This window comes from Homo sapiens, chromosome 13, assembly GCF_000001405.40.
Source record: "Homo sapiens chromosome 13, GRCh38.p14 Primary Assembly".
Lineage (NCBI taxonomy): Eukaryota > Metazoa > Chordata > Mammalia > Primates > Hominidae > Homo > Homo sapiens.
Window position 1 is genome coordinate 72,847,259 of NC_000013.11, and position 23,830 is coordinate 72,871,088.

The 23,830-nt window shown below is 36.1% G+C and overlaps 1 protein-coding gene across 16 annotated transcripts in view, besides 3 other annotated features; it reads left to right on the forward strand.

Annotated features, from left to right (window-relative positions):
- The window catches only part of PIBF1 (progesterone immunomodulatory binding factor 1), a 234,329-nt gene that overhangs the window by 65,126 nt on the left and 145,373 nt on the right, over window positions 1-23,830 (forward strand). For 8 of the 16 annotated variants that reach the window (NM_001349655.2, XM_011534882.4, XM_011534885.4 and 5 more), the window contains 2 exons: window positions 103-189; window positions 6,799-6,897. In NM_001349655.2, the coding sequence (NP_001336584.1) occupies window positions 103-189; window positions 6,799-6,897 (186 nt within the window). The remainder of the gene's footprint in view (window positions 1-102; window positions 190-6,798; window positions 6,898-23,830) is intronic. The other 8 variants (NR_146205.2, NR_146206.2, NM_006346.4 and 5 more) reach the window with 1 other exon arrangement.
- Window positions 4,621-5,152: an enhancer, noted in NCBI's record as "H3K27ac-H3K4me1 hESC enhancer chr13:73426017-73426548 (GRCh37/hg19 assembly coordinates)". NCBI's record gives its function as "activates a minimal SCP1, AML or CMV promoter by ChIP-STARR-seq in primed H9 embryonic stem cells {active_cell/tissue: H9 hESC(primed)}" and the evidence as "EXISTENCE:reporter gene assay evidence [ECO:0000049][PMID:30033119]".
- Window positions 5,153-5,682: an enhancer, noted in NCBI's record as "H3K4me1 hESC enhancer chr13:73426549-73427078 (GRCh37/hg19 assembly coordinates)". NCBI's record gives its function as "activates a minimal SCP1, AML or CMV promoter by ChIP-STARR-seq in primed H9 embryonic stem cells {active_cell/tissue: H9 hESC(primed)}" and the evidence as "EXISTENCE:reporter gene assay evidence [ECO:0000049][PMID:30033119]".
- Window positions 17,598-17,767: an enhancer, noted in NCBI's record as "active region_7816". NCBI's record gives its function as "activates an Ori minimal core promoter by ATAC-STARR-seq in GM12878 lymphoblastoid cells {active_cell/tissue: GM12878}" and the evidence as "EXISTENCE:reporter gene assay evidence [ECO:0000049][PMID:35858748]".

Sequence of the window (23,830 nt, forward strand, 5' to 3'; positions counted from 1 at the left end):
AATCTGCTTGAGCACCAATTGTCTTCAGTCCATTTTATGCTGCTATAACAGGATACCTGAGACTGGATAATTTATAATGAACAGAAGTTTATTGGCTCACAGGTCTGGAGGCTGGGAAGTCCAATATCTACGTACTGGCATCTGGCAAGAGCCTTCTCACTACATTATCATATGGCATAAGGCAAGAAGGTAGGAGACAGAGCAAGGGGGAGCCAAACTCACCCTTTTATAATGGCACCATTCCCACTCTCATGGCCTAATCACCATTATCAGGTCCCACTTCTTAATACTGTTAGAATGGAAGTTAAATTTCAACATGAGTTTTGGAGGACAAAAACTTTTAAACCAAGGCACCAACTATAATAAAAGGTTAGGAAAGTGTAGCATTTTCAGTCAACAATGATCTCAAAAAGTTTCTACTCTTAAAATGTATAGCTTCTCCCAAGAAATTTATTAAATAAGATTTCCACTTTGCTTATTTCGTTTTTATGTCCTGCTCATTAACTTTTCAGTCATCTATGATAAAGGTAAAACTACAGTCATTGAATAGAAACAAGATAATCTACATGCAACCCTTCTATTTTATGCCATCTTAAAAACAAAGGCATCAGATATGGAAATGAGCAGTTTTATGTTGTGTCCAGGAAGACGCTGGAGGTAGAGATGATAAATTCAAACACTTTTCCTATAAATAAGCCTGTCATATAAAACAGCCTATTTTAATCCTTTGTTGTTCTAACTAGAAAAATATATTTACTTCTATTAGCCAAAAATATTTTTACATGAAGACAGAGGGAAGAGTTTGGATTGCTTAGTTGCGCCTGCTGAGCTCTTCTGATAGCCATGGTTATTTTTGTTTGTTTTTGTTTTTGTTTTTTCACTATTTATGCTTGGTAAATTTTAAGTTCTGAGGCATTAGGGATGTTTATTCAGGCTCAGACGTATTCCTTGCATTGCCAAACTCTGATTTGATACTGTTTGAATTTCGAAGGGTCCTAAAGTTTTTCTCATTCTTCTGACATTTTTCTTACCACTTTTCAGATATAAATGTAGATTCAGCCTATTGGTACTGTGAAATTTATCATCTAGTAGTAGGCAAATACATTCTACCCTGTACGTTAGTCTATTGTTACGAATGTTTTATAATGAGGTTTTCAAGTTTCAGTTGTGAGCTACTGTTGAATAAACTTCTGTGTATTAAATTATCTGCTGCACAAATGGCACTATATTGCATATGAATTATGTCTATTTTGTTATAATATTAAAACCCTTTTATTTAAGTAAATGATTAAGAACTTAACTCTTGGCCGGGCGCGGTGGCTCACGCCTGTAGTCCCAGCACTTTGGGAGGCCGAGGCGGGCGGATCACGAGGTCAGGAGATCGAGACCACAGTGAAACCCCGTCTCTACTAAAAATACAAAAAATTAGCCGGCATGGTGGCGGGTGCCTGTAGTCCCAGCTACTCAGGAGGCTGAGCCAGGAGAATGGCATGAACCCGGGAAGCGGAGCTTGCAGTGAGCTGAGATCGCGCCACTGCACTCCAGCTTGGGTGACAGAGTGAGACTCCGTCTCAAAAAAAAAAAAAAAGAACTTAACTCTTTAAGTTTCTCATTTGAATGTTATAATTTAAGTAACCATACCTCTTGGTTTGTCTAAGAAAGTAGTGGTTTGTGTGTGTTTCTTTGGCATAATTTTTAATAGCACCCTCTTTTATTCTAAAAAGTGCACCAGGTTGAAAAATACATTATTTGAATACTCTAGTTATAAAAGTAGGATACTCACTTACCCTTTGCATTTCACATAGTATTTATTTAAGATTTATTTTCTTCAATCTTTCCTCTCAGTATGTCTCCATCCCACAACATAGGGTGAATGGGAAAAATACATATGTGTATATGGGAGATACATAGAATTGCTAGGAAACAACATGAAAGAATCATGAAAAACACAGTGTTGGAATCTAACGTTAACTTTATACAAGTATTTTAAGGATGACATATTCAGATTTTTGTATTTTAAAACACTTATCTTTCTTTGTTATAATTACATTTGATTATACGCTTGGTTTGGACTTCTAAAACTTGAGCTTCGTTAGCTTGTACATGCTACGGATAGCTTCTATCAATTTTTGAAGTTTCTCTTTTGAAGAACATTTGAATTCCTGTAATTTGTTTTGTAATTGTATTTCTGTTATATTTTCTAATGCATTTAACATTTGAAATGGATTACTTATTATATGAAAGTTATTGTCTTATCTGTGGAAGGAATACATCTAGCATTTTATCAAACAGTTTATTTTTGAAAGAGCATGTTATATACTGTGGGCCATAAAAGCTAATGTATAGTATATTCACAATTCTTTCAAGGCTTATTTTGATTTCCCATCTATTGGTGCCTTGAGGTGGTCATGTAATATAAATCTCATAATGTCAGAATTTCTCAAGGAGAAAACATCTGTGAAGCAAAGGAAATTTTAAGAGGCAGCATAGTATGATTCACAGCACAGACTCTGGAGCCAAATTGTTTGGGTGCACATTTGGACTCTGTAGCATACTTCCTGTGTGACTTTAAGCTAATACTTAACCTCTTTGTGTTTTAGTCTTATCATTTGTAAAATGGAGGTAATGATACAACTGCTTTGTGGGATTGTTGTGACAATTAAATGAGTTGTGATATGTAAAGTGCTTAGGACGGCTTCTGGCACATGGTAAACAGTATGCTATTGCTATTTATTGTCAGTAGAAGAATACATTGAGTTTTTCTCTCTCAGACTTCATATGAAACCTGTGAATTGGTAATATTAAATAAAGTATCTATTTCTTATAAGGAATTATGCTGCGTTTTGCTAAAGAATGCAGGTTGTGGACTGGATATGGAAGGTGTGGTACTTGATAAGGAGATTGGGTTTACACAGAAATGTTACCCACAAACACCTGTGAGAGGACCTCTTGGTAGAAGCCTTAGCTTCTTCTGGTCCATTCCCCAGTTCATTTCTGTTTTCTCTTTCTGAATTGCTTTACCTATTTGTCCTTCAAGACCCAACTTACATGTCACTTTTAAAAAATGTTTCACTTTATTCACCTACCTCTCTTACTCCAGTAAAGAATAATCAACTCCTTCTCTTTGTGGCCATAGAATTTTGTTTATGCCTTAACATAGTACTTAACATAGTACCCGCTAATCATACCTCCTTTCACAAGCCCTGATGTTAGCTTGTTCTAGGTTTTATTTCATTCCCTTTGTCTTGTTTTCATTTCTCATGTCCATTGTTGCAAGAAAGGAAATGTTATTAGGGACTGAAGCTTCTCCATCTACCAATTGAGCATTCGTGATTCATTAGTCCTGTAAATGTGCTCTACTTGTAATTGTGCTGCCGAAATAACATATAGAATAATGAAGCTGTATTTGAGAAATGAACATTGAAACCAATTTGTGGTGATTTACTGACTAAAATATTTACATCATTTCGAAATGAAAAATATATAAATGTTTAATATAGTTTGAGAACTTTATCTATAACATTAATTTTTTATGTTTCAGTTTGTTTGAGAATAGAATATTTTTGAAGGTTGTTGCAATCAGGATGACATCTGAAAATAATAATATGCCATTTTTTGATAGCTACTTTAGAATGCACTTCCACTTAGTAACCCACAAAAGTAGTTTCTTTTCTTTTCAATAAGAGTTATCTATACTCCAGCATTTCTGAAGAAACTATTTTATTTCTGGCTTATCAACTATTTTACTGACAAATCTCTAATGGTTGACATTTTTAAAATTTTAAATTTGTTGTTAATATTGATGGCAGCAGCGGCCCATCTGGAGCAGCTGTTGTAAAGATGCCAGCTGCAGTGGGGGAGGCGCGTCCAGGGCTGCATGCTCCACTGAGCCAGCAGGAGCCGGAAACAGGCAGAAACCCAGACCCCTTCCGAGTTGGAGGGGCGGGAGCCCTCCCAGGCGCAGCTGCAGTGGCCCAGTCGCAGCTGCGGACCCAGGCATTCCCTCACTATCTTCGGCCTAGGGAGCCCCCTTCCCCCACGGGTTCAGAAATGCCTGTTCCCGCTGCCTGACCTCTCCCTACTCCCAGCACCCACTCTGATTTCAGAGCAAAGTTGAGGCCAAGCCTGGGCACTGTTGCAGGTGTGCCCGCTCTTGGGGCATTGCTGACACCCCAGCCCCCTGCCACCTCGGCCTCCTCTGGACTTTGGACACTGACAAGCACGGAAGGGAGGCTGGCCAAAGTGGGGGATGAGGGTGTCTTGGTGCAGGCCTGCAGGTGCCCTTTGGCACTCCAGGCTGGGCGCCAGGTTACAGCTGGTTGATGGCGGCAGGAGGCAGGCTGGCTTCTGGGCGGAAAGGGGTGGGTCCCTGGTGAAGCCCCACCCTCAAGCCAGGGATAGCCTGGAGCATGGGAGCTGCGCCACCAGTTTCACAGAACGGAGTGAGAACTTACAGTACTTTTTTCCTCTGGCCCACCCATTGCCACCTATGGACCAATCAGCATATACTTCCTCCCCACTGAAGCCCACAAAAACCCCAGACTCTGGCAGACCTCTGGACGATCTGCCTGCAGAGAGGAGCTACCAACTGTGGGTCTCCTCTCAGCTGAGAGCTGAGCAGATGTAGAGACAACCTGCCTGCAGAGAGAATCTACCCACTGTGGGTCTCCTCTCAGCCAAGAGCTGAGCAGACAGTGGGATGGCCTGCCTGCAGTTAGGAGCTACCCATTCCAGATCTCTTGAGAGCTGTACTGCTGCTCAGGGAAGCACCTCTTTGTCTTATTCATGCTCCGGTTGTCTGTGTACTTCATTCTTCCTGGACACAGGATGAGAACTTGGGACCTGCTTAATGGTGGGACTGAAAGAGCTGTAACACAAAAAGAGCTGAAACATGCCCCTCACTCGCCACATTGCAACAAGGAGAGAATTGCTGCAGCCCTTTGGGGAGCCCAGACCTAGGAGCTCCCTGAGCAAGGGCTCTGACACCTGTTTGGGGCTCTGCAGTTCCTGGCATCTCCAAGCTTCCGGACACCACTGCATTCCCCGGTGCCAGCAGTGGAAGCTGCTTTCAGTATGCCTGTCCAGTCGCAGCCTCACAGGAAGCCTGGAGCCGCCTACCCCACGGCAGCCGGTGTGCCCTGCTGTGTGCAGTGGTTGAACCCTGTACTCACTGACTTGCTCACGCACCCCTTGCTCACACACCCCTTGCTGCTCTGCACTTGGCTTGCCCTCAGCAGGTGTGAGATCCCGGCCAGTATAGCTTGAGCCGAGTACAGCCTGTGAGGCCGAGTGGGTGGAACAAGCCCAGTGGGCCTGAGCATAACTCGGGCAAAGGCGCCACTGGCCACAAAGGTTTCCAGCTGACAAAGTGACGCCCCAAGGATCCTGTGACAGCACCACCATGCAAAAGACTAGATTGAGTACTGGTACAGCAAATATGACTACTAAGCATTTCTATCCAATATTCAATAGATAGGTTTATTCAAACTTTATGGCTTTCATGACTCCCTACTCATATTCTGTATGAATAATAAAAAATAATAATTTCCAACCCAGTTTTTCATGAGAGATAGTGTGGCATGATGTAAAAAGCCCTGGCTTTGGAGTAAGAAATAACTGGATTCAACTTATGGTCCTCTTAGGCTGTGTGACTTGAGGCTAGGTATATGAGCTCTCTAAACTTCAGTTTACTCAGCTAAAAAGTAGGTTATAACATAAAGGGCTTTGTAGGGATTAAGTGAGCAAAATCATTTATATTACATTCTTTTTATTTATGTTGTAACTGCTAGAGAAGGAGATTTAAAAAAAAAAATAGGTGACTATCTGAAAGAAACTTACTGTTGGTATTTTTTTTTTATTCAAAGTTTCATCTTGATTAAAAGGCAAAAGTTTTGATCTTTGGAAGCTCATGGCTAGTTGTGTAATCTCCCAGTTAGTCATTGTTGTTATCTTCCAGCTCCCCTTAACTGACACTAAATGTATTCTTTCTATCAATTTCAGTTCCTTCCTACTGTCCTCACAACTGTTAAGTAGATGACTTTTCCAGTACCCTAACTTCATACTTCTTTGAGCCCTACATGAATATTGACCTTCATCTCAGATCTACTTAATTTAGTCATACTAATTTTCATACCCGATCTTGTTAGCCACCAAAATTCTGCCACTGAAAAGTGCTGTTCTACCTCCAAATCACCATTCTCCAGTCTTCCATCTTGCTTGTACAACTATTACACTTTGACTTAATCTGTCATATCTTATCAGGACCTCTAATTCTTTGTCCCTTCTACTTTCTCCTGTCTGTCAACCTGTGTTTCCTTCCCATTCCTTCCTATATAACTGAGACTTCAAGGTTCTTCATTTCAATGATTCTCTTGCTCGTATCCCAAACCGCACTTTTATTTTGATTCTCCACAATATATCTTTCACTTAAAATATTTTATGGGACATTTATTAACCTCCCCAAACCTCAGTTTTCTAGTGGATAATATATGAATAATTACACCTATCTCATTGGATTCTCGTAAGGAATACATAAATTACTATATATACAAACTGGTTAGCCAACCCTTTGACCCATGCGGAGAAGGGTGGTGTGACATAGAGATAGACCATACTGGCACCTACACTGGTGTATCCTGCTCTTAGATACTCAACCAAGCCAAGCAGGTTTATATAGTGTACACTTTGGGTCCCCAACTTCTCAGATGGGTCCTTAAGATTGTCAGATAGTCCATCTTTAAGAAAGAACATAGATAAATCACGCATTTGAAATAACTGAAATCCATGTTTAAAATTTAGAAATCTCCGAGAAGCAAGGGATAATGCTGTGGCTGAAAAGGAACGAGCAGTGATGGCTGAAAAGGATGCTTTAGAAAAACACGATCAGCTCTTAGACAGGTAAGCATCATAAAAATAGAAATGTTAAAACTCTTCCATTATTGTTTCTGTTACATATTCTTTTAGAAAATGTATTTTAAGGAGAGAATAATTTTCATTTCAATTGAGGAGAGACTAATTTTCATTTCAATAATTTTCATTTCAATTTTCATTTCATTTCAATTTCATTTCAATAATTTTCATTGCAATTGCTTTATTTTTACAATATACAATTATTGTGGATATTGAAAATGTGGTATAGAACAGTTCAGTTACTCCAGAGAGTTTCCTTATGGCCCTTCAGTCCTTCTTAACTGCTACTACTCAAGAGGCACCACTTTCTGATTTCTGTCACAATAGATTAGTTTTGCTTCTCTTAGACTAAAAATACTCTTGTGTCCAGGTTCTTTCATTCCACTTTGTTGTTGTATCAGTAGTTCATTCCTTGTTGTTGCTGAGTATGAATATATTTTATTCACCTGTCAATGGTCATTTTGGTGGTTTCCAGTTTGTTACTATCGTGAATAAAGCTGCCATATAATTTTTTGAAAGTGTGTGTTTTTATTTATCTTGGCTAAATACCTAGGAGTGGCATTGTTCATCATTGGGTAGATAAATGTTTTACTTTTAAAAAACCTGCCAATGGTAACACCAAAGTGATTCTACCATTGTATACTCCCTAGTTTTTTTTTTTTCAAAATCTATATGTTCTAAAGTATGTGTTTTGGAAGGAGGATATCAGAGAGAATGATATATCTTTAATTTACCAATAGAAAATGATATTTATTTTAATAGCCTTGTTAAAAGGAAAATAACTGATGGGCATTATGGTAAATATCATTACTTCATTAAACATTCTACACTTTCAATTGTTTGACTGCATAGAGAGTAAACAGTGGCTACCTTATTTTTTTAACTTTTCATTTTAAAATTATTTCAGAAAAGTTGCTAAAATGGTAAAATTTCTGCGTACCGTTCACATACTAATAAACTTTTGAAATTAAGTTCAATGGGTCTTTTAATTGTTAAATGAAGACCAGATTAATTTGAGGTATAAGCAATACATAAAACTAAAATTTGAGGCAAGTCTTCATATAATTAACCTATTGTAAAAATCTTTTAGAATGGCTCAAATTGTCATACTTCTGAATTCACATCAACTTTATAAACTTGGCCTATGGAAGAATTTTAATAAATGTTATATTGAAGAAGTCATTCCTATAATGTGGAAGTATGTCTTATTCTAAATATCATGCTATCGGGCTAGGCACTGGAAGGCTGAGGCAGGTGGATAACTTGAGGCTAGGAGTTTGAGACCAGGTTGGGCAACATGGTAAAACCCCGTCTCTACTAAAAATGCAAAAATTAGTAGTGTGTGGTGATGCATGCCTGTGATCCCAGCTACTCAGAAGGCTGAGGCACGAGAGTCACTTGAACCCAGGAGGCAGAGATTGCAGTGAGCAGAGATCATGCCACAGCACTCCAGCCTGGGCGACAGAGTGAGACTCTGTCTCAAAAAAAATTTTTTTAGTTTATCTAAAAAAAATAAAGATCATGGTGTAAAAGATCATGGTATGTAAATCAGCTCCTTTCATTAGAGTTCCTATAAAGCGTTTGTTTTATATTTTATTACGTGTAACGCTTCCACTTACAAAACTATATGATGTCCCCTAAAGATTCATTTGACTTTGTGTTGATGTCAGTTTTTAATGTGTAGTTTTAGGGATGTATATTTTTAGGGATGGCTCTAGAATAAGATTTATGGGCAAACTAATAAGGTTTAAAAGAAAACGTAAGATATTACCTAGTAAATCAGAACTTACATTCATCACTTGATAGCTACTGTGTGGTTTTGTAAAGTTGGAGAGAATAATATATCTGATCATAAAACTGACCAATTTATATTTATCGTAAGCTACACTCTTAACCTAAATCCTTCTTATCCTACTTGTATGTACATTTGCAACTGATGTTCATCCGAAGGCCATGCGATACTCTAATACCTAAAAGTATCTATTAAACAATAGAGGATTCAATTATTTAATGTTTGTATAGCACTTAGAACAGTGCCTTCCTATGATAACTACTATTATCATAGAATAATTTGTCCAATTTAGTGTTGTTGTGAAACTTTACTAACTGAATTTTGTTCTTCACAAGTTGATATCTTTCCAACGAATTTTTCACTAAAATTTTAGATAAACTGGAAAACCTCATTTTCAAACTGCCAGATAGGAGGAGGCTTATTTTTAATAATTCTTTGAAGTCATAGTAAAGCCTTGCTTATTCAGAGCCCAATTTTCAGCCAACCTTAAATATTTGTGATAGTTTTAAAATCAAGACAAGGAAAAAAAGGTGTTTCTAGACACCACTAAAAATAACCCTTGAGCAGCAAATAGAGCTAATGCTCAGGACTGTAAAGGACATTACAGAACCAGAGACTTATGAATAAATGAGTGAATGAATGAGAATAATATCTGGGAATGTAAAACTCAAAATAAGCTTAGGCTTTAACAAAATGCTTAAAATAGCTAAAGTTACTTATCTGTTTTTTAAGATATAATATCAATAAATGAAGGGAAAAGTATCCCTGGTTAGGACTGTAATGTTGATAAATGACATTTTTAAAAGTAGAATTCTAGATGTACCATCAGTTTAATTCTTTCTTAATTAATATATAAATTCAGTGCAGTTCATGTCAAAATTTTCAAATGACTTTGAAACTTGACAAACCAACACTAAAAATTCTTTTTCACAATTATTATGCCCATTCTTGTACATTTACTCTTCCATATAAATTTTTATAGTTACAGTTTTTACGTTATGCCTTCATGTGAAGTTCAATTTTGGGGTAGTGTACATAGAGAACTAATTTTATTTTTCATGAAAATGTCAGTTTCCTTAAGTTAAACTATGCATTTAATGTAAGCCAAATAGAATACCAAAAATATTTTTTTGAAACCAGACAAATAAGTTCTGTGGCTTATATGGAAAAATTAAGTAAGTGCATTTCTAAATAAGAACAATGAATTGTGACAGGTCACTAGGGTAGCCAGCTAAGGGGAAAAGAAAATTGAGATCCATACCTCATAACTTACACCAAGATAAATTTCATATGGATCAGAGATTTAAATGTAAAACCATTAAAAACCTAAGAAGCCATAGGAGAATGTTTTTATAATCTTGAATTACAAAAGGCCTTTGCAACTTAGGAGTTATAGAAGTAATAAATTGATAAACTTGATTCCCTACAAATGAAAAATGTTGGTGTGGCATTACTGCCATAAGGAAAGTCAAAAAACAAATGCAAATGTAATCTTGGAAAAAATATTTGCAACGTCTGTCACAGTCATGTGACTGATTTTCCCTTCTCCAAATCAATAAGTCAACATTAAATTCATATTAAAATTATACCTATTTTCAGCTGGACATGGTGGCTCATGCCTGTAATCCCAACATTTTGGGAGGCCGAGTTGGTTGGATCACCTGAGGTCAGGAGTTCAAAACCAGCCTGGCCAATATGGCAAAACCCTGTCTCTACTAAAAATGCAAAATATTAGCCTGGCATAGTGGCACGTGCCTGTAATCCCAGCTACTTGGGAGGTGGAGGCAGGAGAATCGCTTGAACCTGGGAGGCAGAGGTTGCAGTGAGCCGAGATTGCACCATTGCACTCCAGCCTGGGCTACAAGAGTGAAACTCTGTCTCAAAACAAAAACAAAAACAAAAACAAACTATGCCTGTTTTCCACTAAAAACCAAAAGGTTGATAATACATTGTGTTTGCGTGGGTATGGAAAAACAGGCAATCTTAACATTAGTGGGAGTTTAAATTGGTACAACTAATATGAAGAGTAATTCGATAATACCTATCAGAAGTACAAATGTACATTGTGTGTGTGTGTGTGTGTGTGTGTGTGTGTGTGTATGTATTATGTGAGATGGAGTCTCACTCTGTTGCCCAGTCTGGAGTGCAGTGGCACAATCTCTGCTCGCTGCAGCCTCTGCCTCCCGGGTTCAAGTGATTCTCGTGCTTCAGCCCCCTGAGTAGCTGGGATTACAGGCACGTGCCACCACACCCGGCTAATTTATGTATTTTTAGTAAAGATGGGGTTTTGCCATGTTGCCCAGTCTGGTCTCGAATTCGTGACCTCAAGTAATCTGCCCGCCACAGCCTCCCAAAGTGCTGGGATTACAGGCGTGAGCCACTACGCCCAGCCATACATTGCTCTTGATCAAGGAATTTTATTTCTAGTACGTTATCCTGCAGGTATACTTGCTAGGTTCAAAATGCTATATATACCACCTTATTTACTGTAGCATAGTTGACATTTAAGCAGTAGTTAAAAGAATTGTAATTCATGAATACTCTTACAGAATACAACAATGTAGTTGTACAAAAGGAAGTAAGTGGCTCTTTATATCAGGACCAGGAAAAATCTATTAACATTTATTGCTTCTGGAGAAGGAAATTAGGTGTTGCATGGTTGGTGGACAGATAGAGATTTTGTACCTCATAAATATGTACCCTCTTTTGTACCTCATACATATTGAAACTTACAATGTGTTTTTTTCTTTTTTGTGTGTTTTTAATTAAATTTAAACAAAGAGTGGTTATTAAGAATACTTATATACAAGTTTCAAATCATAGTTACTGAGAAACTTCAGAAATTATGTTTTTAATACTCCTGGTGAACAATGGGAGTGAATAAAGGGAGTCAACAAATACCATCTTGTTTTCATAAAAGGGAAGAAGGTAGTAGATTCTTGCAACTATTAAGGAACATATTAGTAGATTACATTACATAACATATTTTGATAAATTATACTCTAATAATTTGATGCAATCTTACATAAACTTTAAGCAAATTACTTGACTTTTTTTAACTATAATGGATGTAAGTACTTTGATAAACCTTTGCTTTTTTCATTGTCAGACGTGATGTTTCTAACCATTTAGGATTGCTTTGAGCCTTAGATATAATATATTTTAAGTGTATGGCATAGATTATGCTCAGTAAGCAGCCATGCTTGCAATGGTTTTTAAGATTGCTGCTGAAAGAAGCAAGTATCACCAAGAGTTAGGATGGGTTCTCTAAAAATAAAGAAGACTACATTTCAATTTTTAAGAGATATATTGCAGGGGTAAAGCATGGAAATGAGTTAGATAGGGAACAAGGGATTTGATAAGACTTTCCATGACATCCTTTTAAACAATATGGGGAAAATATGGGAGCAATTCAAGGCCAGGTAAATGGATTAGTAACTACTGAAGGGCTTTATCCAAATGTTGTTAGAGAATTATTAATTAAAAAATGGGTATATGGTACTCATCTATAATATCCTGCAGTACTATATTTCTGCATTTTTGTCAGTGATTTCAGGAAAAATTAAAACCATATTTAACAAATTTGATATAAAACAATAACAACAAATTAATTGAATAATGAAGTAAGGATCTAATAGATCTTTTCAGGCAGAAGTAATTAACTGAATGAATTTTAATAGGAATAAATGTAAGATCATGCAGTTGGGTCCAGAAAACCTATGGTTTATAGGTTTATAGGCTTAGATGTGAAATGTGAAAATGACCTGCATGGTTTCAATATGGAGATATTATCCTACAGTAATAGAAGTTATATGTAGAATGTGATCTGTAATTACCTTACCTATAGAATTATGCTGATAACTGGGCACCCAAGCTTTAAACTAAAAGGTCTTCAGAGGAATATGGCCATAACTGCAAAAAGATTCAAAAGTGCCCTATTAGTGCTAGGCTGTAACTACCTACAAGTATTTTAAGCGTTCACATATGAAAAAGCTGGATTTCTTACTTGGCAAGACATAAAGTAGTAGAATTGGGACCACTGGGTAATCACTACAAGAAAGCGTAAAGATAGTAGGACTTTTCACAATGCCTTAGCATCTGATACATTCTCTATCAGTAGAAGTATTCAGGCATAAGCCAAATTCAGTAGAAATGTGCTTGTAAAGGTTGAAGCATCAAGTGGGTAGCTTGATGAGTTTAAAGCCCCCTTTCATCCTGATGTGACAACCGTGTAAAAGAGTTGACGCACTCATTAAATTACCATGCAAAAGAAATGGTGAACACAAGCTAATTTTGAGGATATTATTTAAAAGATTTCTGTAGTTCGCTTTCCCTGTGTTTTTTTAGGGGTGTGTGTGTGTGTGTGTGTGTGTGTGTGTGTGTGTGTGTGTGTGACAGTAGAGAGACAGAGAATCTACTGAAGTTATTTTGAGTATAGAGTGCCTATGTTGCCTATGTGTTTAAACTCATATATTTTGGGAATATCGTATATATTTTGTATATAGTGAAGCTTAAGGAAAAATATTTTATTCTTCAGAGGTTAAATTTTTAATATTCAAATATGTGATTCTGGCTTCCTTTGTCACTTCCTATGTTTTAATCTTTATGCGGAATGTGATTTCCCTGAATCATGCTTAAGTAAAGCCTCTGGCATGCCTATACATAATTTTCTAGTCAGGTATAATTTGTCTCATCTTTTTCATTTATGTTAGAAGTTTTTATTTATCAAATGCCACATTTTTATGATTAAACAACCTGTGTTATAAAGAGAAATGTATGGAAACGGTGTGCCATTTTTCAAACGAGTGAAAATGGCTTTTTACTCAAAGACTTTTCTTTTCTACAAAGGAAAGGACTTTTCTCAGGCAAATAAAAGACTCATGTATGTCCCAATTCAAGCTCAACAATTTGATAAGTAACAAATACCCAGTTTTCATGAACATGAACAGTTATTATGTCGTATTCTGTTGCTTTGAATCCCTGCATGTACTCCTAAGATTCTTTCTTCCAAAAAGTAGAAATTTTAAAATTCAGTGTTTGTAGTAGAATAAATTGAATACACTGTTACATTCGTGGGCTACTACATAGAATACTATATTGGGATCTAAAATGTAAGGTTGCAATTCAAAATTAATTTTAATAGTGAACTTTTTTCAGTTATGGTTTGTTTTATTTAAAAAAATATATTCTATGCAAGGTACAGTGGCTCACACTTGTAATCCAGGCACTTTGGGAGGCCAAGGTGAGAGGATTACTTGAGCCCAGGAGTTTCAGACCAGCCTGGGCAACATAGTGAAACCTCATCTCTACAAAAAATGTAATAATTATTACATATAAGAATATATATTATGTACATATATTATGTATTTTAAAAGAATTTTCATTGCAAGTATTTTTAAATTAATATTGTTTGAAATTATGTTTTCAATCCCAACTTCTCTGGTAATGGTAGGATTTTTGTCCTCATTTTGTATTAGTACAAGGCCAAAATAAGAAGGCATGGGAAATCAGATAAGCAGAGTAAGTGATTTTTATGTCATATTGGGCTAGTTTAAAGCTTGATAAAGAAATCAGCTGTCCTAAATTTCCTTTCAGTGCTTTTTTTCATATTTCTATATACTTTTATCTTTATATTTTAATCTGCTACTAGGCCAGAGTGCAGTGGCATGATCTCGGCTCACTGCAGCCTCCACCTCCCAGAGTTCAAGCAGTTCTCATGCTTCAGCCTACTGAGTCGCTGGGACTACAGGTGTGTGCCACCACACCTGGCTAATTTTTGTATTTTTAGTAGGTATGGGGTTTCGCCATGTTGGCCAGGCTGGCCTCAAACTCCTGACCTCAAGTGATCAGAAAAAACACAGCAATCTTTGAAGCGAAAAATATGGCAACAGAATAAGATGGTAGAAACTAATGAGAGAAACTATATATGAAAATGATAGTATAGAAATAAAAAGGAATGGAAGAGAAATAGTATTTAGGGTCAGGGGAGTTCCAGAAAACCATGTTGGTAATTTGAGGCTGGAGGTTTCTAGAGCAGAAAAAAGAATAAAGTGATGAAAACAGTTAGAGAAAAAGTAATTGACAGGGAGGACAGACAGTATATATTCATCTTCAGTGTGCCAAGGGAAGAAAACAAAATGGACCAGGAAAAAAAACATTTAGAGATTCAATAGAAGAAAACATTTTCTGAAATAAGGAATCTGCAATTTAGAAGAACTCATCACATTCTGGGTAGTGGGAAGAGGATGGGAAACAGCAATGTTGTAAATCTAAGTGAAGTTACAGAACATGAATGTTAAAGGAATAGAATTAGAAGTATCTGCGCAAAATAAGTAAGTCATTTACTAAGGAAAAAATAAATCTAAGCTGCATGCAGTGGCATGCCTATAGACCCAGGTACTTGGGAGGCTGAGGCAAGAGAATCGCTAAAGTCCAGGAGTTGAGGACCAGCCTAGGTGACATAGTGGGATGCCCATCTCAAATAAATAAATTAATTAATTTGGTTGAGCTCAAGGTTTTCTTCCATAATAATACTTTATTTATTTAGCAATATTTATTAACCACCAAGCACCATTTTCAGGCACTGTGATTAAGGGTTTGACAAGATGAAAGGCTCTCTGTCTTAATGGAACTTGTATTTCTGTGATGTAAATCAGAAAATATACAAATAACAATAATTTTTAGAGAGTAGCAGTTATTTGAAATATATGAAATTGAGTATGATTCAGGGAGGTTTGCAGTCTGAAAGATGAGAAGGAATCAGTCATGTGAGGTCCCATGAAACATATTACCTATAAGGCCTTCCTGAAAAACCTACTGGAAATTGTAACTTCACCAAAGAAGGAAAGAATCAAAGAACTCATGGACTGAGATGTCAGGGTAAAGAAGAACTGGAAGTGAACGTTTAGTGTAAAATGTAATCTTAATGACCTTTGTCATTTTGGTTACAAAAGATTGTAATCATAATTGTTAACAAGAAATTATAACATAAAAATAATAGAAGTAGAGGCGAAATAGCAGAAACTTGCAACTAAAATTAGGGAATTGATGGTAAGAGAAATAGTGTTTGTACATATATAATGTTCTCAGATTTCATGAAAGAATCAATAGTTTTATGAAGAAATACATGTTTTAATATATAATTTAAAACTATAAATGGAACAGACTATATATTTTGCATACTACCAGAGGGAGGAAAAAGATCAATCACAGGCTATATAACAAAGGACAGACAGCAAAGCAAACACCAAAGAAGTAAAAAAACAGAGACCATAAATTAAGATGGAAGAAGGCTACACCCATCTTTTCTAATAGCAATTGTAAATGTGACAAACACACCATGTATATAGGAAAAGAAATACAGTTTGGATTAAAAAATAAAATTTTTTCCACATTAATAAGTGACTCAGGGCCAGGGCGCGGTGGCTCACGCCTGTAATCCCAGCACTTTGGGAGGCCAAGGTGGGCGGATCACGAGGTCAGGAGATTGAGACCATCCTGGCTAACACGGTGAAACCCCATCTCTACTAAAAATGAAAAAAAAAAAAAATTATCCAGGCGTGGTGGTGGGCACCTGTAGTCCTAGCTGCTGAGGAGGCTGAGGCAGGAGAATGGCGTGAACCCAGGAAGCGGAGCTTGCAATGAGCAGAGATCTCGCCAATGCACTCCAGCCTGGGCGACAGAGTGAGACTCCGTCTCAAAAAAAAAAAAAAAAAAGGGACTGAGGATTTTTAAAGATGGAAAAAAGACAAAGTAATACAGAATTAAAACTATTCTGCAATAATTTATTAAGGATTGTCTTAAAATAATTCAGAACCTTGAGAATCCCTCTGTAATGACACTATGTACACAATAAAGATATACTCAAAAATCTTTACGTGTGAGATTTCCAAGAGGGAAAGTGCTTATTTTCCCATTCTGGGTTCCATGCCCAGCCTAGGCAGCTCAACTGTTGCCAGAGGCAATGATCACATTTTAAAAACATGGTTTAGGGGTATGTATACTGTCTAGATAAAGTTCTAAATAAAAAGCATGCTGAACAGATAATTCAGTTAATTGCTTATTATGGTTCCTGCTTCAAAACACATTTGATGAAGCAAGGAAACTAAACTCAGAAAATATAAACAAGTTGGAATCATGTTGTTAATTCATAAGCACTTATTAACTAAATCCTGCTTAAGGCCACATTAAAGTTACAATTACGGATATATATTTAAGTGTGTGACTCATAAATTAGCTTAAAAATCAGGTTCATTCATCTTACAGACCTTGCTTGAGAGTGAGGAGGATGGGGTGTTCCATGGTCTTTTCTAAGTCTAGCCAGCTGCCTCCCAAATGTGTAATTCGGGGTTACACGTTGAGAGAGTAGACTGAATCAATACAAATATGTAAGTGTTACTAGAAAAAGAACTCAAGTACATGTTCTTCCGATTATTCATCAATAGCATCAAAAGGAAATGATGTGGATGAAGGAAACATTATATGTGTGCACATTTTTTAGGATGTTTCTTAGAAATCTAGCGTCATAGTTGGTCATTATGCTTGTGAACTGAAAACCAGAGAAAGTAAGAGTGAGTTGTGTGTGTGCGCATGTGCGTGCATGTGTGTGTGTTCATACAGCTTTCTTTATAGGCTGCTGCTCTGTTGCCATAGGGGGAACTTTTTATAGATTTACATTTGGTAAATATACCCACATCCAAAAAAAGACGTATGAAAAATTGGGATGCCAGCTAACTAAATCAACTCATAAAAACTAAAGTTAAGGGTAAGATTATTTTCCACGATTATTTTAAAATATGATGTTTACTGGAAGGAAAGTCCAGAGAATTACCACAGATGAAGTGTGAGTGTATTTCTCCCACTTGTAAATGAGCTCTTATTTCCTACAGTGTATATTCTGGTCCACAATGAGTCATTTTCAACATGTTTCAGTTTAACTTCTAATACATTTTTAAACTTGGCAGGCAAATTTAGATGAACATTACTTCCAGTTTTAGAGACTGCTTCTAAATTATACTTCAGTGGTGTAGTCATCATGAAAAGTTCTTTCAGTAAAAGGAAACAGGATTGATTGGAAATGTATGTTTTGGAGGAGCAAAAAAATGGTTACCATTTTTAAATTTTGTTACTACATAAACCCTGTTAACATTATCTTAAAAAGTTGTAGATGTGAGGTCCTTTTATGGATAGAAGATACTTTAGAGAAGAGAATATATGATGTATCCTAGATAATAATAAAGTTAATATTTATTAAACTTTTACTATGCCTAGCATTGTTTAACTGTTCTATACGTATTAGCTATTTTAATGCCTGCATAATAGGCAGTAGTATGTTTTCTGTAAGCCATTCAGGCCGTGTTTCTATTAGAAAACATGAAGCCCGGCACAGTTCTGGCCGTTTGACTAAAACTTTATGTTTGTAAAAACTAGCAATTTATATAGAGAATTTTACATAGTTGCCAGCTCTGAATAAGTATTTAATAATTACCTTGTATAAATTTATGCAATCCTGTGAATCTTCTGGCAAATTTCAGTGGCCAATCTATCTACTGTTATCTTTTAAATATGCTTGATTTTTGTTACTATAATTTTTACACTGTGTCTTATTATTTTTAACACTTTAAAAGTTCATAAAAATTTAGTTTGAAAAATGCTTCAAGATGATTGCAAGCATTGCATTCATTTTGCAAATGAGGAAACAAGTCTAAAGAAGTAATATGGCTTGTCCTCAGTTACACTGTTACTAGAAACGGAGCCATAATTACACATCTGTTCTCTTTGTTCCCATCCCAGTTGTTCTTTCTGCCACACCAGTATGTTATACTTAGTAAACAGTATATGAAGCATAATATGTGTGAAGTTGAACATCAGTAGGTATATTTTTGTTCTCAAATATACACATCAAAAACAACACAATTTAAAACTATACTGTATTAATTTCATAGGGTTGCAATGATAAATTGCCAAAACTTGGTGGCAAAACAACAGAAATTTATTCTCCATTCTAGAGGCCAGAACTCTGAAACTAAGATGTTGACATGGCTTTACTGTCTCCTAAGGCTCTAGGGGTAATCCTTTGCTTGCTTCTTCCAGCTTCTGGGGGCCTCCAGGCATTCCTTGGCTTCCTTGGCTTGTAACCGTATCACTCTAGTCTCTGCCTCTGTCTTCATGTGGCTTTCTCCTTTGTGTGCCTCTTATATGGATATATCTGATTGCATGTACGGCACACTCAGATAATTCAGGACAGGTCTCTCATCTCAAGATGCTTAACTTAATCACATCTACAAAGACTCTTTTTCCAAATAAGGTAATAGTCACAGCTTTTGGGAGTTAGGACATGGACTTCTCTTTTTTGGCAGGGTTGGGGGCACCATTCAACCTACCACATATACCTTTTAATTCATGTGAATTATATTTACTTGAGTTCTTCAATAAAGGTAACATTTTATTTTGAAATGATTTAACTAAAATTTTCTAATTTTAGGAGTTACTGAAATTCTATGATATTTCTATGGACTATCTTTCAACCTACTAGCTGTTGAACAAAATCATACCTTAGAGATTCTAGAATCTGCCATTTGATCTATGACATACATTTATTATGACTTAAAAGTCTTCCTGTGTGACTTTTAATAACATTCTTTAAGAACATCATGACAGTGACATTAAGATTAAAGAAACAGTAGTTATACATTTTTAACAGATACAGTATAAAAACCTAGCTTTAGACAAGCTATGTTAGCTTCATTTAGGCCATTTAATTGCTAGCAATTAAATTTTGCTCTACTGTGTTTGAGATCCTTTAGATTTGGGATGCTCTTATAATGACTATTTCATGTTTTATTTTCGTTCCTTATTTTTTTCATTCAAGTGATTCCTGATTTTAATAAATGTTTATGCATAATGTGTATCTTTGTATTATATATCCCAGATGTATGATCACTTAGTTTCTGCTTCTGTAGAAATTATTGCTAGATGTGAAGATATGCTGAATTCATTTTAGCCATTGAAAGTATATTACTGTAAATGAAAGGAAAAACAACCAATATATAAGTCTGTGCTTCATACAGTTATTGATATGGTTTGGGTCTGTGTCCCCACCCAAATCTCACCTTGTAGCTCCCATAATTCTTATGTGTTGTGGGAGGGACCAGGTGGAAGATAATTGAATCACGGGGGCAGATCTTTCCCATGCTGTTCTTGTGATAGTAAATAAGTCTAACAAGATCTGGTGGTTTTAAAAATGGGAGCTTCCCTGCACAAGCTCTCTCTCTTTGTCTGCCACCATCCACAAAAGATGTGACTTGCTCCTCCTTGCCTTCACAAGGAGGCCTCCTCAGCCATGTGGAACTGTAAGTCCATTAAACCTCTTTTTTTGTAAATTATCCAGTCTCAGGTATGTCTTTATCAGCCACATGAAAATGGACTAATACAGTTATTAATAGAATTAAATGAAATTCTTTATTTAAAGTACTCAAAAAATATTAACTATTATTATTACCATCATCTAGTTAGTTGATTTTTAAAGTAAGATGTGTCTATGTTCTCTTTTCAGCACCATAAAGGTAGAGCAGTCTCTGACTAGATCTGGTAAAAAAATATTTTATGCAGATGAGTAAACTTCACTATTACAATGAGCTCTCTAAAGAAAGAGTCCCCTTTCCTCAACTTACTGTATATTCTAATTGTTAGCAACTCATTCAATTGGGATTTTTCTTGCATCTTTTTGTAAATTATAAAGAAGATCCATGTGTTTTAAAATTGATGTGCTTTTTAAAACTCCAAGGTAGTGTGTTTTCATTTTACAAATGGAAAGTGTCGGTATTTTTTGTAAAAAGTAGAAAATTAGTTTATGCGTCTTCAAATAGCAAAGCTTAATTAGACAGTCGCATATCTATCATTAAAATTCAAATGTTTTAATTCACTTGGACCCCAAATGTGAATTTCTCTTGGCTAGATTATTCATAGATTCTCTGCATGTAATGATGCCTATGGTTTCTAAAATTCTTTTTGTCTAAAATCATGAAGATGGCAGATGCACAAAATAATAACATCTCTGGGCTGTGTGTGGTGGTTCACACCTGTAATCCCAACACTTTAGGAGGCTGAGGCAGGAGGATTACTGGAGGCCAGGAGTTCAGGAACAGCCTGGCAACAAAGTGAGACCCCATCTCTGCACACATACAAAAAAATTAACCACGCAGAGTGGGCATGTGCCTATAATCTCAGCTCCTCAGGAGGCTGAGGTTGAAGGATCCCTTGAGCCTTGGACTTTAAGGCTGCACTGAGCTAAGATGGTGCCACTATGCCCCTGCCTGAGCAACAGAATAAAACCCTGTCTCTTTATTAAAAAAGAAAAAAAAAAAAAAGACTATTTCTCCTTGCCTTCAGGCAAGAATGCACCCAGATCATCCTAGTCTGATAGGCTATCCATATGCAAACCTGTAAAGGAACTCACATACCTGTAAAGGTACTCACGTACCTGTAAATGACAATGAAATGTTAGCTTCAAAATAGTTTATATAAGTAGTTTACAGGAAAGTCAAGGTATGATAAATAACCTGTCATTTATAAGAATGGAATGTTCTGTATGTTGGTGTAACAAAACATGTCTATTCTTTTGTGTCATGTTTTGCCATTGGTTAAGCCATACATTTGATTAAGAAGTAAGTCAGCAGATACTTCAACTTGGTATCCAGTATAACCAATATCACCTCTTCATTATAGAAACAACCTCTTCCATGGCTGGGTGCAGTGATTCATTCCTGTAATCCCTACACTTTGGGAGGCCATGGTGGGAGGATCACTAGAGGCTACGAGTTTGAAACCAGGCTGGGCAACATAGTGAGACCCCAGCTCTCCCAAAAAGTAAAAAAAAAAAAAAAAAAAAAAAGATGAAACTACTTCTTCCCCATTATTGTCTGTACCCTAACTAAATATTAAGCATTCCACTTGAGATACCATCTCACACCAGTTAGAATGGCAATCATTAAAAAGTCAGGAAACAACAGGTGCTGGAGAGGATGTGGAGAAATAGGAACACTTTTACACTGTTGGTGGGACTGTAAACTAGTTCAACCATTGTGGAAGTCAGTGTGGCGATTCCTCAGGGATCTAGAAGTAGAAATACCATTTGACCCAGCCATCCCATTACTGGGTATATACCCAAAGGACTATAATTCATGCTGCTATAAAGACACATGCACACGTATGTTTATCACGGCATTATTCACAATAGCAAAGACTTGGAACCAACCCAAATGTCCAACAATGGTAGACTGGATTGAGAAAGTGTGGCACGTGTACACCATGGGATACTATGCAGCCATAAAAAATGATGAGTTCATGTCCTTTGTAGGGACATGGATGAAATTGGAAATCATCATTCTCAGTAAACTATTGCAAGGACAAAAAACCAAGCACTGCATGTTCTCACTCATGGATGGGAATTGAACAATGAGAGCACATGGACACAGGAAGGGGAACATCACACTCTGGGGACTGTTGTGGGGTGGGGGGAGGGGGAAGGGATAGCATTAGGAGATATACGTAATGCTAAATGACGAGTTAATGGGTGCAGCACACCAGCATGGCACATATATACATGTGTAACTAACCTGCACATTGTGCACATGTACCCTAAAACTTAAAGTATAATAATAATAATAAAAAATAAATAATAAAAAAATAAAAAATAAAGCATTCCACTTATAAGAAAGTTATTAGCTCTGATCGCCTCTCTTTATTCTTATGTATGAGTTTTCATTCCACAAGTTTTAGACACTGTTTATAAAGTATAAGGTATACCAAGGCATAGCTAAAGGTTGTGGCTACTTAACCCCCCACCTCCACACACACACACATATATATATATCTTTAATGATAGAGACCACTAGAGCAGTATTGACTTAAATGGCTCAAATATTTCATGAGTTTTCAATAAAAAAGACTAGCAATAGTAATTCTTTTGAGTTTATTTAGGTAGAATTATGAAAAAGTTATCTTTTTTCTTTTTATTAATTTTGTTTGTAAAAATTATAATTTAATTGTATAAGCACTTTTATGAATTTTTAATTGCAGATACCATCTGATAAATGTTATAAATTTGTTCCCACATAATTGTACATGACATACAATTCCATATAGCTAAACTCATTTTCCATTACCATTTTATAATAGAACCTAATGGAAATTAATTACCATGACTGCCTTTTTCCTGTGAGAATTAAGTCTCCATAGCCCATTCTATGAACTGTTCTCTGCCTTCCTTAATTCTTTAATGTATAGATGAACCTAACATTCCCTTCCTGTCGATTTCAAATGTTTAATGTTGCTTGCCTTGTTTCCTTTTATTTTAAATGAGAGCCAACATTATGAACTCAGCACTTTACTGAGTACATCAAAAGGCAAAAGAGAAACGTATCTCTCCCCATGGTTTCAGATGAGAATCTGGAGAAAAATATGTACGTGTGCTCAGATTTCTCTTTGTTGGAGTATGGACTATGGAAAGAGAAATAAAATGCCAAAGTATCTCTCTAAACTTTCCTATGGTGGGCTAGAAATTGTTCAAGTCAATATTTATTGAACCTTTGTGCATGACACACTGTAGAGAATTTTAAAAATTAAAACAATTTCAGTTTTGAAAGAGCTGAAATACATATATACATATTTATATTTTAAAGCAAAATTTTATATATGTTAAGAAGTCTGTTGTAGGCTGTGAATGTCCCTATCTGTTTTGGAAATGGCCTTTTAGAAGAGGTGGTACATGAAACAAGCATTTGAAGTGTGAAATTTGACATGCAGATATAAGAGAAGACTATTCCAAAAATTTTGTAAACCTAAATATAGAAGAAACAAAAGAATTTTCAAAAAAAAAAAAAACAGATAATTCATTCACCTGATTCAGAGTGTACAAGTAGATAGGAGATAAGGATAGACAGTTTCATTTTTTGGTAGAATGTCAGAATAAAGAGCTTTTATTTACTTCAGTGTGCAGTGAGGGCTGACATGATGAGATTTACATTTTAGAGAATTAGCTTGGCAGTAATATATGTATATATATTTATGGTAATTCAAGATGCCCTGAATAGGAGTTCCTGAAGTCCAGATGATTGGTAACTATGGCCT